The sequence below is a fragment of the Homo sapiens genome, chromosome 3, assembly GCF_000001405.40.
Source record: "Homo sapiens chromosome 3, GRCh38.p14 Primary Assembly".
Lineage (NCBI taxonomy): Eukaryota > Metazoa > Chordata > Mammalia > Primates > Hominidae > Homo > Homo sapiens.
Window position 1 is genome coordinate 98178940 of NC_000003.12, and position 19453 is coordinate 98198392.

At 39.6% G+C, this 19453-nt stretch overlaps 2 long non-coding RNA genes and 1 pseudogene across 2 annotated transcripts; 2 read left to right on the forward strand and 1 right to left on the reverse strand.

The window, feature by feature from the left end:
• Window positions 1–5794: 5794 nt before the first annotated feature.
• LOC105373998 (uncharacterized) lies at window positions 5795–9919 on the reverse strand. The gene is made up of 3 exons (XR_924256.2): window positions 9835–9919; window positions 6323–6512; window positions 5795–6233 (listed from the first exon to the last, which is right to left on the reverse strand). It is a non-coding gene; the product is annotated as an uncharacterized LOC105373998 (long non-coding RNA).
• A 2500-nt stretch (window positions 9920–12419) lies between these two features.
• LOC105373997 (uncharacterized) lies at window positions 12420–17812 on the forward strand. Its single transcript, XR_924254.3, has 3 exons — window positions 12420–12671; window positions 14485–14559; window positions 17467–17812. It is a non-coding gene; the product is annotated as an uncharacterized LOC105373997 (long non-coding RNA).
• Window positions 18272–19199, forward strand: OR5H5P (olfactory receptor family 5 subfamily H member 5 pseudogene; annotated as a pseudogene).

Below are 19453 nucleotides of genomic sequence, written 5' to 3' on the forward strand. Positions count from 1 at the left end.
ACCATCTGATCTTTGACAAACCTGACAAAAACAAGAAATGGGGAAAGGATTCCCTATTTAATAAATGGTGCTGGGAAAACTGGCTAGCCATATGTAGAAAGCTGAAACTGGATCCCTTCCTTACACCTTATACAAAAGTTAATTCAAGATGGATTAAAGACTTACATGTTAGACATAAAACCATAAAAACCCTAGAAGAAAACCTAGGGAATACCATTCAGGACATAGGCATGGGCAAGGACTTCATGTCTAAAACACCAAAAGCAACGGCAACAAAAGCCAAAATTGACAAATGGGATCTAATTAAACTAAAGAGCTTCTGCACAGCAAAAGAAACTACCATCAGAGTGAACAGGCAACCTACAAAATGGGAGAAAATTTTTGCAACCTACTCATCTGACAAAGGGCTAATATCCAGAATCTACAATGAACTCAAACAAATTTACAAGAAAAAAACAAACAACCCCATCAAAAAGTGGGCAAAGGATATGAACAGACACTTCTCAAAAGAAGACATTTATGCAGCAAAAAAACACATGAAAAAATGCTCATCATCACTGGCCATCAGAGAAATGCAAATCAAAACCACAATGAGATACCATCTCACACCAGTTAGAATGACGATCATTAAAATGTCAGGAAACAATAGGTGCTGGAGAAGATGTGGAGAAATAGGAACACTTTTACACTGTTGGTTGGACTGTAAACTAGTTCAACCATTGTGGAAGTCAGTGTGGCGATTCCTTAGGGATCTAGAACTGGAAATACCATTTGACCCAGCCATCCCATTACTGGGAATATACCCAAAGGATTATAAATCATGCTGCTATAAAGACACATGCACACGTATGTTTATTGTGGCACTATTCACAATAGCAAAGACTTGGAACCAACCCAAATGTCCAACAATGATAGAGTGGATTAAGAAAATGTGGCACATATACACCATAGAATACTATGCAGCCATAAAAAATGATGAGTTCCTGTCCTTTGTAGGGACATGGATGAAACTGGAAAACATCATTCTCAGCAAACTACTGCAAGGACAAAAAACCAAACACCGCATGTTCTCACTTATAGGTGGGAATTGAACAATGAGAACACATGGACACAGGAAGGGGAACATCACACACCAGGGACTGTTGTGGGGTGGGGGGAGGGGGTAGGGATAGCATTAGGAGATATACCTAATGCTAAATGATGAGTTAATGGGTGCAGCACACCAACATGCCACATGTATACATATGTAACAAACCTGCACATTGTGCACATGTACCCTAAAACTTAAAGTATAATAATAATAAAATTTTAAAAAGATAACAAATCAGAAAATTATCTTGACAAAATATAAAATATTTGTTTTCCAGGCCACTTACTTAAAATGTAAAGAATAAACATTACCAATTTCCAATGAGAGCAGGCCCATATACACTGTGAAAACTTTTCATTTTAACAGAATAGACCAAATTATAGTTTTACAATGGTTTACTTTTAATATTAAGACCTCTTAAAATAAATTCATTCTAGCCGATTTGACCATGCAAGATTCTCTTTCACTTCCCAATTTTCTGTGTTCACTTGGTTTCTGTTCTTCCCTCATTCATTTTGAAATACACTTCTCGGATACTTAGCATATAAGGATGTTTCCCTTATGTTATTTAGTAGTGATGATTATCACACATTAATTATAATTCTTAACTCTTAGTAACTTTCTTTTCTGGGATATAAGCAATTGCCAAATAAGCATCACACCAGCATTTTACAGATTGGCAAATCTCTGAATATACAATTTCATAATTTCTAGAAGCATGTGCTTTCCCGTTACATAATTCTTCCATGTGGCACAGGACATGTTTGCTAATGACCACAAATATTTTTATTTCTTCTGTAACAAGAAGTACAAAGTAGATAAGTATATGCTCAGCAATTAATGTTTTAATATTTTTTCTTATTTGGAAATAATCCAGATATTCAATGACTATTGGCAATTTAATTCAACTGTGTGAAACTCTAAGGGTATAATTTATCAGAGAGAAGAGGGGAGGCATTTTTAAGCAGATCTATTAGTAAACATAGTTATAGTTTAAAAGTTCATTTATAAACTTTTATTGTACTTAGATCTACTTAATTCACTTGTTCTAAATTGTTTGGGTTACTCATGAAAATTTCATAAGACATTAGACAAAACTAGTTACCTCTCAAATTACTTTCTTGTTAACTATACAGCACATTTATGTCAGTCAGTCATCATGAAAGCAAAAATATAAAAGTCAAATATATGTTTTTGTTGTTTTATTGCTGTGCCTGATATATATGAAGTAAATGCTATCACATTTTCACATAGGTGTTTAGGTTGAACTGTTAGTTTTCTGAATTTAAACATCAGTTAGAGATAATATAAACTTATTTGACTAGTAAACTCAGCTAACATAAAAGTTGTGTGTTTGTATTATATTTAATTTTGAAAACTCTGAAGAGATGTCTATTTTAGTTAAACCAACAAACTTGAAGTAGCTTTGACTTAACAGAGATTATCATAGATAATGTGAACCTTAAAAATATATTGGTGAATTTCCATCTTTCTGAGTTTAAGGAATCCTTAATTCATATAAGCATATATTCTTCTATAGGCCAAATGAATAGAACTAGAATACAAATTAATTTTGCAATACCATCCAAAGGTAGCAAAATGTCACCTATACAACATATAGACATACATAAACTTACAGAAAGAAGCAAATATTATAGAGTTCATTCTAAAATTGTAGCCCCATGTCAGGTACAATAACAACAAACTCAAGGCTGGGCATGGTGGCTCTTGCCTATAATCCCAGAACTTTGGGAGGCCGAGGTGGGTGGATCACCTGAGGTCAGGATTTTGAGACCAGCCAGGCCAACATGGTGAAACCCTGTCTCTACTAAAAATAGAAAAATTACCCAGGGTTGGTGGTGTGCCCCCGTATTCCCCACTGCTTGGGAATCACTTGAACACAGGAGATGGAGGTTGCCGTGAGCCAAGATTGCACCACTGCACTCCAACCTGGCTGACAGAGTGAAACTCTGTCAAAGAAAAAAAAAAGAAAGAAGGAGAAAAAAATAATTTATAAGACTCTCTAGACATGAATTGTTCTTCTCATGGTTGGAAGAAGTTAAGATGTCTTGCCCAGATGACCAAAGCTTTTTATTAATATTTTTGGAAAATGTTTTTACTATTTTTCATTTGACCCATTTACAAATGCCTCTTTTTTGTTCAGATGTGATGTGTCCTTGAAATTTGCATATAAAATATAAAGTTCTCATACCTTACAGTAGACATGTAAGAATATTTACATGTTAAAGTCACAGTGCTTAGATTTCAGACTTAAGTACCACAGTTTTCCAAAACAAATAAACAAAAAGAGTGTTGAGACCCAGTTAAGACAAGACAGCCAAGATAACCACCTTAAACAAAGGTAGGTTTTGTGATGTAGATAAAGTTACTACCTTCTCCATTATTTAGAGGTTTAGTCCTACTACTCTTCCTGGACCAGATATGTAGATCTCTTACAAATGGAGATTGTTTTAAATTTCTCTTCTAAAGGGAATCTCAAAACAACCAAATCAAAATAGTCTTTATGCCAATAGGTAAAATATTTTGGTAATTATTTGGCCTCATCATTCACATATCATTCCAGTTTTTGTTTTGTAACTACATTAAAGATTTCAGGGTGGATCTTATCATTGAATAGAACAAGGATTTTCTACTCCTGAAATGAACATAGATTGACCACAATGTTTTACAAATAGTACCTCTAATCTTGCCTTATATTCAGAGACTGGTTTATCCTTTTTTCTTTGATTGCATGACAGACAAGTGAGTTTTTGATGAAATACTTTGGGGATGGATTCTAAGAGATTATTTCCTATTTCCTCAGCACTTTTGTTCTTTCCCTGGAAGATTGAGGGATTGGATCTTTGCTGTCTGTCTTAGGTATGCAACATTTAGCTTCAGCTACAGGCTTCACTAGGTTCCAGGATCATGTGAATAAACTGGTACAGATCAAAGAGTCCTAAATCATATGATCCAAGAAGAATTAGAAATTCCACAGAAAATTTCTGGGGCATATGTTTGGGAGAGAATATTTTTCACTATTGCTCTGAGCTCAGATTTTGACCAAGGTGCAAAAATTGGTAAAGAGAAGGCAGGCTTAGTTGATCTGATGAACTGAATTTATATGGTAATTGACTAGATTTTTTTTTATATTCTTACAGGTGAAAACATAACTGAACAAAAGCCTTAGTAGACTCAGAGTTATGAGTTAGAGGATAATATAGAGAAATATAGATGAAACTGCCATTGCAAAGATTATGAAAATGAGAAAAAACTCACATAGGAATATTTTGTCAGTGAATCTGAAACAGGAAAATTAGACAGTACTTCTAAACAAGCTGACTTTCTTTATTCCTGTGTGTAGGCCAAACTACATTTGGGAAGAATTTACTTTATAGTGTTTGACTTTGAAACAAAGACGACAAGAGCCCCCCCTCAAAGCAAACCTCCTCCTTGCTTGGGGCCCACCTTTATCCTCAAACCAATGAATCAGCATTCCCCATTTCCTAACCCTCTTCCTGAAAAAGTATCTTTAAAAACCCCTAGCCTTTGGCGTGCATGGTGGCTCATTTTTTTAATCCCGGCATTTTGTGAGGCTGAGGCAGACCAATCACTTGAGGTCAGGAGTTTGAGACCAGCCTGGCAAGCATGGTAATATCCTGTTTCTTCTAAAAACACAAAAATTAGCTAGGCGTGAGGGTACACATTTGTAATCACAGATACTTGGGGGTCTGAGACACGAGAATCACCTGAACCCAGGAGGTGGAGGAGGTTGCAGTGAGCAGACTTCCTGCCACTGCACTTGAGCCTGGGTGATGGAGTGACTCTGTCTCAAAAAAAAAAAAAAAAACAAAATAAATAATAGAAAGAAAGAGAGAGAGAAAGAAAGAGAAAAGGAGAAGAAAAGAAAAGAAAAGAAAAAGGAAAAGAAAAGAGAACCAACACTCTAGCCTCTGACTATTTGGAGAGTTTGACTTGAGTTATAATTAAACTCTGCTTTCCCATTTAGCCAGGTAATAAATTGGAATTGTGTGCATTAAAATTTTCCCCTGTTGCAATTCCCCTGTCTTGATAATTGGCTCTAACCAGATAGCAGGCAAGAAGAACTCATTTGGTGGTAACATAGACAGAAGGAGCAATTGGAGTTAAGTTAGTCATTGACTCACACACAGACTCTATGGAAAAAATACACACACACACACACATACACACACACACACACACACACACACACATTCTAATTGGATAGAAAGGTAGAATGACATTTTGAAGGCAGTGTAAGAACACCACCTATGAGGGAATACATTGCAAGACTGTCTTTGTTTTTTCTTCTCTTTTCCCCTGACCTTTGCCTAATAAAATTTCTCATCAGATTTCCACTCACCTGAAAGTTAGGAAAATATCTGGAGTTTGAGCTACAGTTTCATGACGTGGACAATTTTACTTGGGATTGGCTTATGAAGGGAATCTAGATCACTGGCCTTATTAAAATCATGACTAACTCGGATGAGACTATGCTAATCAAAACACTAAAAGCATCCAGTTTTTTTTATTATTATCATACTTTAAGTTCTGGGATACATGTCAGAACGTACAGGTTTGTTACATAGGTATACATGGAGCATTCAGTTTTTAAAAATCAACATTTATTTTAAGTTCTGTGGTATATGTGCAGGTTTGTTATATAGGTAAATGTGTGCCACGGTGGTTTGCTACACAAATGAACACATCACCTACTTATTAAGCTCAGCATCCATTAGCTATTCTTCTTGATGAAAAACATCTAATTTTATATACAAACTGAAGTTTGCATAAAATGTCAGAAGTGAAGCATATTGTGGGAAACTGTGGCATAAAGTGTAATTTCAATTGTAAAAACTAGAACTGGCTTACAGTGACTTAATATTTATGATTCTGAAGTCCATAGCACACTGTGGAATAATCTGTATTTCACATACACATTTAAATCTACAATGCCCAGTTGAAGATCTCCACTTTATCCACGTGGAATTATTACCATTTTTTCTTTATATTTCCTGTATCAGTGATATGGCTCTGATGAGTTGAGGAACACCAGGGTTGTTTGTCTCTCGTTGAATTGGAAAAAATGACATGGACACACATGAAAACTTTTCTGGAGCTGCTTTAAAAAGAAACAAAAACTTTTCAAGGATTGCTTTTCCTTTTTATCTGTCTAAAATAATTTCTTAATAAATCCTACCACATTCCCACCTGTGGAAATATCACCCTAATTGCTGTTAGGGGGTTTTGGGTGATGACTGTTTCTGGCTATTTCCTGCTGAAAGGGACATCAGATGGGGAACAGCACTAGGGCTCCTCCTGGGGGTGATCTAAGGTCCTTGGAAGAACAGCTTGTCCTTGTGTTGTTTAGTTTGCAGCACCATCTGGAGCTTGATTAGTTCTACATGAGAAGAAACAATTTGAGTTATAATATTGAGTATAAAGGGTCCAAATATTAATACAAGACATATAAGCAAGAGAAGGTTTACCAAAGGGGTTAGCCAATTCCATAAAGAACAGTGGAATTCATTAAAGAGGGATAGTAGCCACCCAGGGCTGAGGCCTGCACTTTCTCTGAGCCTGTCAATAATTTTGATTTGACTGTTAAGTTCATGTAGGTTTTCCTCTACTTTACTAGAGGTGTTAATCCAAGATATAGAGTTTCCCTTTGGGGGTCTATGAAGTTCATTGGTTTGATTTTCCTCAACAAAGAAACCTCTGAGTTATGGGCACCCTACTCACTTTTATTACCTGGCAGAATTAGTAGGATAAAATTGCACAGAACTAGCATATCTCTTAGTGTGGGGTGGGGATGTTTCCTTATCTTTCAGGTGGCCAAGGGCATGCTTCTCTGATTTATAACCACTATTAGCCATCATTTACAGTGTATTTTCTACCTATTTATTACACATCAAAGCTCTCTCATAATGTGAAGTAATTTTCTACCCCCAAAACTCAAAATGGTAGATAACACAATGCATAACAGAATAAAGATTTTGATTCTGACAGGGAACTACCTGCTTTTAATTTTGGGGATTTCATGAGGAAAATAGTTTTTTTTTTTTTCCCCAAAATGAGGTCTGTGAGGCCTCCTCTGTTTTCCCAAGGAGTCCCACGCTACCATAAGTTATCTTAAGGCCTCCCATGAATTCATTAAGAGTGGTAAGACAAAAAATCGAGAAAAATAATTCAGTCAACTGAAAAGAGGACATTTTCAGAAAACAAGAGCCAAGAAGAGAAAAACAAAAAGGCCTTTTAAATATACCTATAAATTGAATATCCACTTTTAATTAAGCTGAGCACTCTTTAAGAAAATCCTTTCAAATCCCATGTTACTTGACTTTAGCCATGCCAAGCAGTTAAGATTTTCAGCCTTTGAACTTTACAGAAAGCAACCTCTCAGGTGAAATCAATGAGTCTTAATTAGGTTATTGCTGAGTCTGTCCTGCAGACTCTGGCCGAGCGACAGTGAAAGAGATCCAACTAAAACAACTCCATATTTTTTCCAGCCTCCAAGCTGTCCTTGCCCATCCCTGGGCATAGGCTGAACCAACTTTGGGAGGAGGCTGGTTTACAGTTTATAGTCTAAAACAAAGATGATATCAGCTGCTTCCCAAGATATACTACCCTCTTGCCTGGGGACCAGACCAAGAAACAAGCCACAAGATTAGAAACCATGGCCTAGGAGCCATGAAAGTGGAGGCTACAAGATTTTGAACCTTCCTAAACTGCTCTTGAGACCAGTGTTTATGATGTTTTGTAAACCCTGTCCTTGATGGACCAACTGGCACCACCCAGATTGACAAACTGGCTTATCTGATTTTGTGGCCCTTACCCAGGAACTGACTTAGCACAAGAAGACAGCCACCATTGTAAAATGGCGGAGACTAAAACACAGTATTGCCATGCGGTTACAGGTCATGTTCCCAAAGACATGAAACAAGACGGAGGTTTGTAGCCAACTTTGTTACTGACCGTTTTGTTGGGTTGGCTCAAACAGTAGGCTTATGGGGTCCTTGGCCTGCATCCTGAAGTAAAATGTGTTTTCTTTGACAGAACCATACAGAAAGAGATGCAAAGCATACCAGATAGTCTACAGCTTAAGAACAATCTCACAAATCTTTTGTCATTAATTATAAATTTACAGAGATAAACAATGATCCTTATTATCCCTTTTACCGGCTTGCACAGGGAGAGAGAATTCAAAAGCCCAACTGGTAAGAAATTTTTAAACTTTTGCCAGCATATTAGGCTTCTCGGTTTCTTCCCACCTAGCTCAACTCTAAGCCAAGTGTTTTAAGGTTTTTTTCCAGATTGGAAGAACATTAAAAAAGAGATAGAAGCCATTTTAAACCATGAAAGAAGGAAAACGCCATAGAAAGGAGTTCCATTAGGGTTGTTAAGACGTATTGCCTCTTTTCCTACTGGAAATCGTGTTTCCCCTATTTCTTTGCCTTCTCTATTTTCTCTTTTTTCTTTTAGCCTACTGTAGGAGGCATATTGCTTATCTTCAAAACACTCTTCTGCTTGCAGACCTGCCTGTTTTAGCTGCAGTTAGGGTTTGGCTTAGGAGCAGCATAACATTCCTCCATGAGAGGTTAAATACGAGAGGTAAATTTTGGAAAGCTTCTGTATACCTATCAGAGTCAGAAAATCAGCCTAAGTCTCCCTTTACTTGTCTAAGGTCCTGAAATGAGAAGGGAACTTGAAGGAGCTCCAAACAAGGGAATCCTCAGATGGTTTCCCTGGAACTTGCTCCTGTAATTTTGGGGAATTATTCTCTTTATGACTGCCTGATATGATTGCTAAAAGAGCTGGGTTAATTTTGCAACACTTACAAAGGTGTAGTAAGAAAGGCCATGCCCTTGTGCAAAAGAAAATAAGCCACTTTTTCTTCAAAGTTTAAGGTCAAAGGAGTCCCAGTGCTTCAAAATACACTCCAGGGGAGTGCATATTGAAGATGATCTGTTACCCATTTAGAAAAAGAAGAGAGAATAAAAGCATTCTTTTAGTCTCCTTCATTTTGGTATGTGATCCAGTAGAGCACATCCCCCCAACTATTTTCTCTCCTTGGATCCTGAATCCAGGCACCCATTTCAATGTGCCGCCCATGACTGCAGGCATGACCCTCCAAAGCATGACACCAGAGGAACTAAACTTTTGGGCCATAGTCATGCTGTCCCCAAGGAGCCTTAGTCCTCTTCCTTTTATTTCCCTTTGACCTCCTAGACTTGTGTGACCTGTGTGCTTTCCAAAAAAAAAAAAAAAAAATAAATGGATTTCAAGAAAAATCACGTAATTGGGCAAGGCCCGTTTAAGGGAGGGGGTGTGCTGGATTGAACTCTAAATCCTGCTGTTATAGCCCATGCTAAAGCATTTACCCATAGAAGAATCGTTCCAGTTAACTTTCAGACTTAAAATCCCCTTATTAATTTAAGTACTGTCTTAATAGGGGACAGAATAGGTGCCTTAAGGGAATGTAGGAACCAAATGGCCATTTTCCTGTGAGGGGGACAATATCAAGACTAACATTTGGCTACAGAAGACATCTTAATCCTCTCTGCTAAAGGCAGAACCATCCCCTTCCCATAAGAGGCCCAGAGCCTGATGTCTAACAGTGTAAAAGGAAGCTGCGGTGTTACCATGAAAAAAGAGGAACAAAGTGTGCCTCATGTAGAGGATTTTTATTTCCGCTAGGTGGCTTAGAAATACCATGTGCTCACCAGAGAAACTGTAGAGAGAGATGTTTATTGAGTTACTGCCTGATGTGATTTGTGATCTTTTCTAACAGACCTGTTTCCTTGAACTGTAAAGATTCCTGCACATTAGACACGCAGAGACAGGGTTAAGAGACTGTAGATAGAAAGAGAAAGAAAGTTTGGCAACAGGATAGCTGGAAGAGTGCCCTAAAATTAAAGATCAGATTTAAAGTTGAGATCCACTCCATACTCACCAGTCTGATGAATGAATTTCCTTTCCCAGCCAATGTGCCAAAATGATACGGCTCTGATGAGTGGAAGAACACCAGGGTACTTCTTTCTGTCTCCTTCTTTACTGACTTGTCTTTCTCGCATTTACCATCTATGATGTGATTATTCTGTGACTAATTTTTTTCTCCTTGTTTTATTTCACCTAGGCAAATTTCCATTTCCACATTTCCTATGCCTTTTTTCCTTTCACTTGTCAATCTTTACTTTTGATAACTTTTTCTTAAATATTGTACTGGAGAAAAAAACATTAGTTTATGAGCAGCAGACAAATGCCAATTATTCTCCACATGTCGTAGAGTACTGTACCTCATCCCCTCACTGCTGGGCTACTTGTTTCCCCTTCACTTTGTATTGCTGACTTTTATTCTATTACATAAGGGAAACTCCTCTCACTAAGGCCACTAAAAATTACTTCATTTGTATACACAGCGAATTCCCTGCACTCCTTGTCCTCTAGGGCATTTATTTTGTCATTTTTCCCTGTGCTTCACTTGGTCACACTGATCTTACCTCTCTTTATGTCCATCCACAACACTCAGCTTTCTAGTTCTCTCCTGCTTCTTCCCTTGATCACTCTGTTCAGTACCCTTTTCTACTATCTCTTTTGTTACACTTTTGAACATCTAGGGCTTTGGGTTGCAATGTAAAATGTTATTGAATGGATATTGATTCCAGTATAGAAATGGTAGGGAAGGTGGAGAAATCAGCTAGAAAATAATGGCAGGAACACAAGGAAGTAAAGCAGCCAGCCAGCAGCCCAAATCCTTTCCCAACAGGAACTTCATGAGTGGCTGTTTCCGCTGCTGTACTTCCAATGACACAGCTCATACTTTCAATGGCATTGTTGTAGATACAGGATGCACATGCTGGGATCTTAATGTTTTTGCCTCAACTGCATTTGCACTATTTTTTTTGTTGTCCATGTACATTTGTCTCTATCTCTCTATATCCAACTGTATGTAGTGTGGCTTTGATTAAACAAATCTAGGTGAAATTCTTTGTCTGCCACCAAAACGCATGTGGTAGAAAGGGGTTCCAGGTGTTGGCAATTTAATAAATGGCCTCCATTGCCTTCATAAACTTTTAATATGCTTCTTAAAATGTTTTGCATTTCAACTTTTATTTTAGATATAAAGAGTACACAGGCTGCTTTTGAAACCAAAACCTTTCTCTTTCTCTCCATATTCCGAATGTAGGATCAGCGTGTTTCATTGGCCATCCTAGATCAGGTCCCTTCACTATACAAACAAGAAGAATGGAAAAATGAGTTCTAGTTCTTTTGGCTTCTAGAGCAGTAGGTAACCTCTGACAGCCACCAAGACTTGGATAGCAAAAAAGATCACATCTTGGCCATTCCTAGGACATATGTCCACTTTGTTATCTCTTTAACATAACTTGCTCCAGTTGATTTTCTTGCCACTCTTTTTGTTTCTTTGTTACTCTCCAGTGGATACATCATTAACTACACCTTTGACTACCACAAAGATTCCAAGTAATTATTTCTATTAAGCTCTAACAGACTCATATTACTGATTGGATCTCACCTAGTTGGCTGCAGGATGCTTACTCCAAGAACTTGCCAGCACATCTGAGTTCCCATCCTCAATATTTAATGACCTATTACCCAGTCACCAAGTGACTTTTGTCTCGTTTATTACCACTTCTTTCCCACCAAATATGTCACAGAATACTAGAGAATCTACATTCTAGATTCTTTGGAATCTTTTTCTTTGTCTTACCATCTTTTCCAATGTAATATCACACCTGGACAAGACACCTAGCACTCATTTGAATCACCTTGAGGGTATTTTTTAAATGCAGATTTCTAGAACTCATTTCTGAAATAATCAATTTCTACATTAAATTCTCACAATCTATATTTTTCATAAAACACACTCCCAGATCATTTTTATATGTGATCTGATTGGGATCACTGGGATCTTAGTAACAAGTTTCTAATTAGTACCCCTTAGTCCAATTTCCCCATCCCACAGCATATTTTCTACACTATCAAAAAATTTAAAAAATATATTATGATGGCATTTCCTGTCAGGCCTCTCAGCCCAAGCCTGCACATATTCATCCAGATGGCCTGAAGCAAGTGAAGAATGACAAATGAAGTGAAAATGGCCAGTTCCTGCCTTAACTGATGACATTACCTTGTGAAATTCCTTCTCATGGCTCATCCTGGCTCAAAAGCTCCCCCACTGAGCACCTTGTGACCCCCACCCCTGCCAGACAGAGAACAACCCCCTTTGACTGTAATTTTCCACTACCTACCCAAATCCTACAAAACAGCCCCATCCCTATCTCCCTTTGCTAACTCTCTTTTCCGACTCAGCCCGCCTGTACCCAGGTGATTAAAAAGCTTTATTGCTCACACAAAGCCTCTTTGGTGGTCTCTTCACACAGACCCATGTGAAATTTGGTGCCGTGACTCAGATCGGGGGACCTCCCTTGGGAGATCAATCCCTGGTCCTCCTGCTCTTTGCTACATGAGAAAGATCCACCTACGACCTCTGGTCCTCAGACCAACCAGTCCAAGGAATATCTCACCAATTTTAAATTGGGTAAGTGGCCTCTTTTTACTCTCTTCTCCAACCTCTCTCACTATCCCTCAATCTCTTTCTCCTTTCAATCTTGGCACCATCCTTCAATCTCTCCCTTCTCTTAATTTCAGTTCCCTTCCTTTTCTGGTAGAGACACAGGAGACACGTTTTATCCGTGAACCCAAAACTCCGGCACCAGTCACAGACTTGGGAAGACAGTCTTCCCTTGGTGTTTAACCACTGTGAGGATGCCTGCTTGATTATTCACCCACGTTTCAGAGGTGTCTGATCATGGCCAGGATGCCTGCCTTGATCCTTCACCCTTAGTGTCAAGCACCACTTTCTTTGGGGGCAAGCACCACCCACCCCTTCTCTCTGTGTCTCTATCCTCTCTTTTCTCTCCACTTTCTTGGGGGACAAGCACACCCCACCCCTTCTCTCTGTGTCTCTACCCTGTCTTTTCTCTCCACTTTCCTGGGGGGGCAAGCACCCCCCACCTCTTCTCTCCATGTCTTTACCCTCTCTTTTCTCTCCACTTTCCTGGGGGCAAGCACCCCCCCTACCCCTTCTCCCTATGTCTCTACCCTCTCTTTTCTCTGGGCTTGCCTCTTTCACTATAGGTAACCTTACACCCTCAATTCCTCCTTCTCCCTTAGCCTGTGTTCTCAAGAACTTAAAACCTCTTCAACTCACACCTGATCTAAAACCTAAATGCCTTATTTTCTTCTGCAATACCGCTTAACCCCCATACAAACTTGACAATGGTTCCGAATAGCCAGAAAATGGCACTTTCGACTTTTCCATCCTACATGATCTAGATAATTCTTGTCATAAAGGGCAAATGGTCTGAAGTGCCTGATGTCCAGGCATTCTTTTACACATCGGTCCCTCCCTAGTCTCTGTTCCCAATGCAACTCATCCCAAATCCTCCTTCTTTCCCTCCCGCCTGTCCCCTCAGTCCCAACCCCAAGCATCACTGAGTCTTTTCAATCCTCCTTTTCTACCAACCCATCTGACCTCTCCCCTCATCCCCAGACTGCTCCTCAGTTCACTCCCTGTGAGGCTGAATCAGGCTCCAATTCTTCCTAAGCTTCTGCTCCTCCACCCTGTAATCCTTCTATCACCTCCTCTCCCCATACCCAGTCCAGCTTACAGTTTCATTCCATGACTAGCCCTCCCCCACCTGCCCAACAATTTCCTCTTAAAGAGGTGGCTGGAGCTAAAGGCATAGTTAAGGTTAATGCTCCTTTTTCTTTATCCAACCTCTCCCAAATCAGTTAGCGTTTAGGCTCTTTTTCATCAAATATGAAAACCCAGCCCAGTTCATGGCTTGTTTGGCAGCAACCCTGAGACACTTTACAGCCCTAGACCCTGAAAGGTCAGAAGGCCATCTTATTCTCAATATACATTTTATTTTATTACACAATCCACTCCTGACATTAAATAAAACTCCAAAAATTAAATTCCAGCCCTCAAACCCCATGATAGGACTTAATTAACCTCACCTTCAAGTTGTACAATAATAGAGTAGAGGCAGCCAAGTAGCAACGTATTTCTGAGTTGCAATTCCTTGCCTCTACTGTGAGAGAAACCCCAGCCAGAACTCCAGCACTCAAGAACTTCAAAACACTTAAGCCACAGCAGTCAGGCATTCCTTTAGGACCTCCTCTCCCAGGATCTTACTTCAAGTGCTGGAAATCTGGCCACTGGGCCAAGGAATGCCCGCAGCATGGGATTCCTCCTAAGCCGTGTCCCATCTGTGTGGGACCCCAGTGGAAATTGGACTGTCCAACTAGCCCAAGGCTCTGACTGACTCCTTCTCGGATCTTCTCAGCTTAGCAGCTGAAGACTGAGGCTGCCCGAACACCTCAGAAGCCTCCTGGACCATCACAGATGCTTACAGTGGAGGGTAAGTCCATCCCCTTCTTAATTAATATGAAGCCTACCCAATCCACATTACCTTCTTTTCAACAGCCTGTTTCCCTTGCCCCCATAACTGTTGTGGGTATTGACGGCCAGGCTTCTAAACCTCTTAAAACTCCCCAAATCCAACATTCTTTTATGTACTCCTTTTTAGTTATCCTCACCTGCCCAGCTCCCTTATTAGGTCGAGACATTTTAACTAAATTATTTACTTCCCTGACTATTCCTAGGCTACAGCCACACCTCATTGCCACCTTTTTCCCCAGTTCAAAGCCTCCTTCTCATCCTCCCCTTGTATCTTTCCACCTTAATCCACAGGTATAGTACACCTCTACTCCCTCCTTGTCAACCAATCATATGCCCATTACTATCCCATTAAAACCTAATCACCCTTACCCCACTCAATGCCAATATCCCATCCCACAGCATACTTTAATAGGATTAAAGCCTGTTATCACTCGCCTGCTACAGCATGGGCTTCTAAAACCTATAAACTTTCCTTAAATTCCTGCATTTTACCTGTCCAAAACCGGACAAGTCTTACAGGTTAGTTCAGGATCTGTGCCTTATCAACCAAATTATTTTGCTATCAACTCTATAGTGCCCAACCCATACACTCTTTTGTCCTCAATGCCTTCCTTCACAACTCATTATTCTATTCTGATCTTAAAGAGGCTTTTTTCACTATTCCCCTGCACCCCTCATTCCAGCCTCTCTTTGCTTTTACCTGGACTGATCCTGACACCTATCAGCCTCTGCAGGTTACATGGGCTGTACTGCCACAAGGCTTCAGGGACAGCCCTTATTAATTCAGCCAAGCTCTTTCTCATGATTTGCTTTCTTTCCACCCCTCCGCTTCTCACCTTATTCAATATATTGATGACCTTCTACTTTATAGCCCCTCCTTTGAATCTTCTCAACAAGACACCCTCCTGCTCCTTCAACATTTATTTTACAAAGGAGATGGGTATCCCCCTCCAAAGCTCAAATTTCTTCTCCATCTGTTACCTACCTTGGCATAATTCTTTACAAAAACACACATGCTCTCCCTGCCAATTGCGTCTGACTGATCCCTCGAACCCTGACCCCTTTTACAAAACAACAACTCCTTTCCTTCCTGGGCATAGTTGGATACTTTTGCCTTTGGATACCTGGTTTTGCCATCCTAACAAAACCGTTATATATCACAAAAGGAAACCTAGCTGACCCCACAGATCCTAAATCCTTTCCCTACTCCTCTTTCCATTCCTTGAAGACAGCTTTAGAGGCTGCCCCCACTCTAGCTCTCCCTGACTCATCCCAACCGTTTTCATTACACACAGCCAAAATGCAGGGCTGTGCAGTTGGAATTCTTACACAAGGTCTGGGACCATGCCCTGTAGCCTTTCTGTCAAAACAACTTGACCTTACTGTTTGTTTTAGGCTGGCCATCATGTCTCCGTGCAGTGGTTGCTGCCACCCTAATACTTTTAGAGGCCCTCAAAATCATAAACTATGCTCAACTCACTCTACAGTTCTCATAACTTCCAAAATCTATTTTCTTCCTCACACCTGACGCATATACTTTCTGCTCCCCAGCTCCTTCAGTTATACTCACTCTTTGTTGAGTCTCCCAACAATTATGATTGTTCCTTCAATCCAGCCTCCCACATTATTCTGGACACCACACCTGACCCCCATGACTGTTTCTTCTCTGATCAACCTGACATTCACCCCATTTCCCCATATTTCCTTCTTTCCTGTTTCTCACTTCCTTCCCCGTATTTCCTTCTTTCTTGTTTCTCACTTTTCCTGTTTCTCACCCTGATCACACTTGTTTATTGATGGCAGTTCCACCAGGCCTAATCGTCACTCACCAGCAAAGGCAGGCTATGCTATGGTATCTTCCACATCTATCATTGAGGCTACCACTCTGCCCTCTTCCACTACCTCTCAGCAAGCCGAACTCATTGCCTTAACTCGAGCTCTCACTCTTGCAAAGGAAATACATGTCAATATTTATACTGACTGTAACTATGCCTTTCATATCCTGCATCACCACGCTGTTGTATGGGCAGAAAGAGGTTGCCTCACTACACAACGGTCCTCCATCATTAATGCCTCTTTGATAAAAACTCTTCTCAAGGCTGCTTTACTTCCAAAGGAAGCTGGAGTCATTCACTACAAAGGCTATCAAAGGCATCAGATCCCATTGCTCTAGGCAACGCTTATGCTGATAAGGTAGCTAAAGAAGCAGCTAGCGTTCCAACTTCTGTCCCTCACTGCCAGTTTTTCTCCTTCTCACCGGCCACTCCCACTTACTCCCCCACTGAAACTTCCACCTATCAATCTCTTCCCACACAAGGCAAATGGTTCTTAGACCAAGGAAAATATCTCCTTCCAGCCTCACAGGTCCATTCTATTCTGTCATCATTTCATAACCTCTTCCATGTAGGTTACAAGCCACTAGCCCGTCTCATAGAACCTCTCATTTCCTTTCCATCATGGAAATCTGTCCTCAAGGAAATCACTTCTCAGTGTTCCATCTGCTATTCTACTACTCCTCAGGGATTGTTCAGGCCCCCTCCCTCCCCTACACATCAAGATGGGGGATTTGCCCCTGCCCAGGACTGGCAAATTGACTTTACTCACGTGCCCCGAGTCAAGAAACTAAAATAACTCTTGATCTGGGTAGAAACTTTCACTGGATGGGTAGAGGCCTTTCCCACAGTGTCTGAGGGACACCCCTTACCACAAAATCTTCCTTCAGCTTAATCTCTCCCACTCTAAGTTCCCATGCCTCCCCTAATCCCACTTGAAGCAGCCCTGAGAAATACCGCCCATTATTTCTCCAAAATTTTTGCTGCCCCAACACTTCAACACTATTTTGTTTTATTTTTCTTATTAATATAAGAAGACAGCAATGTCAGACCTCTGAACCCAAGCATGCACGTATTCATCCAGATTGCCTGAAGTAACTGAAGAATGACAAAAGAAGTGAAAATGGCCAGTTCCTGCCTTAATTGATGACATCACCTTGTGAAATTCCTTTTCCTGGCTCATCCTGGCTCAAAAGCTCCCCCACTGAGCACCTTATGACCCCCACCCCTGCCAGCCAGAGAACAACCTCCTTTGACTGTAATTTTCCACTACCTACCCAAATCCTATAAAACAGCCCCACCCCTATCTCCCTTCACTGGCTTTCTTTTCGGACTCAGCTTGCCTGCACCCAGGTGAAATAAACAGCTTTATTGCTCACACAAAGCCTGTTTGGTGAACTCTTCACACACAAGTGCATGAAATTTCCCATCTGAAAGTATTTGGTGCATTCTTATATTATGAAATATAAAGTTTAAGAATCTTCACATGGCATTTATTGCATTGATTTTTATCCAGATCTTTCAAAAACCTGTTCCCCAGGAACTCCATTCATATACTAGACACAGGATTATTCTACCACATAAGAGTGTGCACATAAATTTAGTATACCAGAGAATGCATATTACTACCCAATTTTTAAACCAAAATATATATATTTTTTCATTTATTTAACACCTTAAATATAGGATTTCTTTTTTATGGTAATGGTAAAAAACTAAGAGGTCTCTTATAATCGCACTGTTTATTTCAACACGTCTTCCACAGATTCAACTCATAATGCCATTGCAAATTTGCCTTTCATTTGTTGCATTTTATTTTAGAGGACATGCAGTGAGGACATGGAAGAGAAAAATGCAACATTGCTGACAGAGTTTGTTCTCACATTATTTTTATATCAACCTCACTGGAAAATACCCCTGTTCCTGGCATTCTTGGTAATATATCTCATCACCATCTTTGGGAATCTTGGTCTGATTGCTGTCGTATGGAAAGACCCTCACCTTCATATCCCAATATACTTATTCCTTGAGAATTTAGCTTTTGTGGATGATTTGTTATCATCCACATGACTCTGAAGATGCTGATCAACTTCTTCACTAAGAGTAAGTTGATTTCTCTCTGAATGCTGGATACATTTTTTTTCCTTTGCAATTGGTGTAACCACAGAATGTTTTATCTTGGCAACAATGGCATATGATCGCTATGTAGCCATATGCAAACCTTTACTTTATCCAGTCATTATGACCAATGGACTGTGCATCTGGCTATTAATCTTGTCATTTCTAGGTGGCCTTCTTCATGCTTTAATTCATGAAGGTTTTTTATAGATTAACCTTCTGTAATTCCAACACAATACATCACTTTTAATGTGACATTATCCCATTGTTAAAAATTTTCTGTACTGATTCTTCTATTAACTTTCCAATGGTTTTTATTTTCTCATGTTCAATTCAAGTTTTCACCATTGGGACTGTTCTTGTATCTTATACATTTGTCCTCTCTACAATCTTGAAAAAGAAGTCTGTCAAAGGCATAAGAAAAGACTTCTCCACCTGTGGAGCTCATATCTTACCTGTATCTTTATACTATGGGCCCCTCGCCTTCATGTATGTGGGCTCTGCATCCCAACGGGCTGATGACCAAGATATGATGGAGTCTCTATTTTACACTGTCATAGTTCCTTTATTAAATCCCATGATCTACAGCCTGAGAAATAAGCAAGTAATAGATTCATTCACAAAAATGTTCAAAGGAAATAATGTTTAGATCTCTTACTCATCTCTCTTTTCTACTTACTAAAATAGTCACAAAATTGTGCAAATTAGAGGTACCTATGTTTTTGCCAGCATTAAAAGATTTTGCAATTATAACAGTACTAGCACTTTAATGACCTATGATGTTAGTACCTATTTAACTAATTAAAATATTCCTATGTTATTCAAAAGCATTTGAGAAATTTTAGTCATCTTCATAATAGAATAATGATGGCAGAAAGCAAATAAAAGTATTGTAGAGTATGG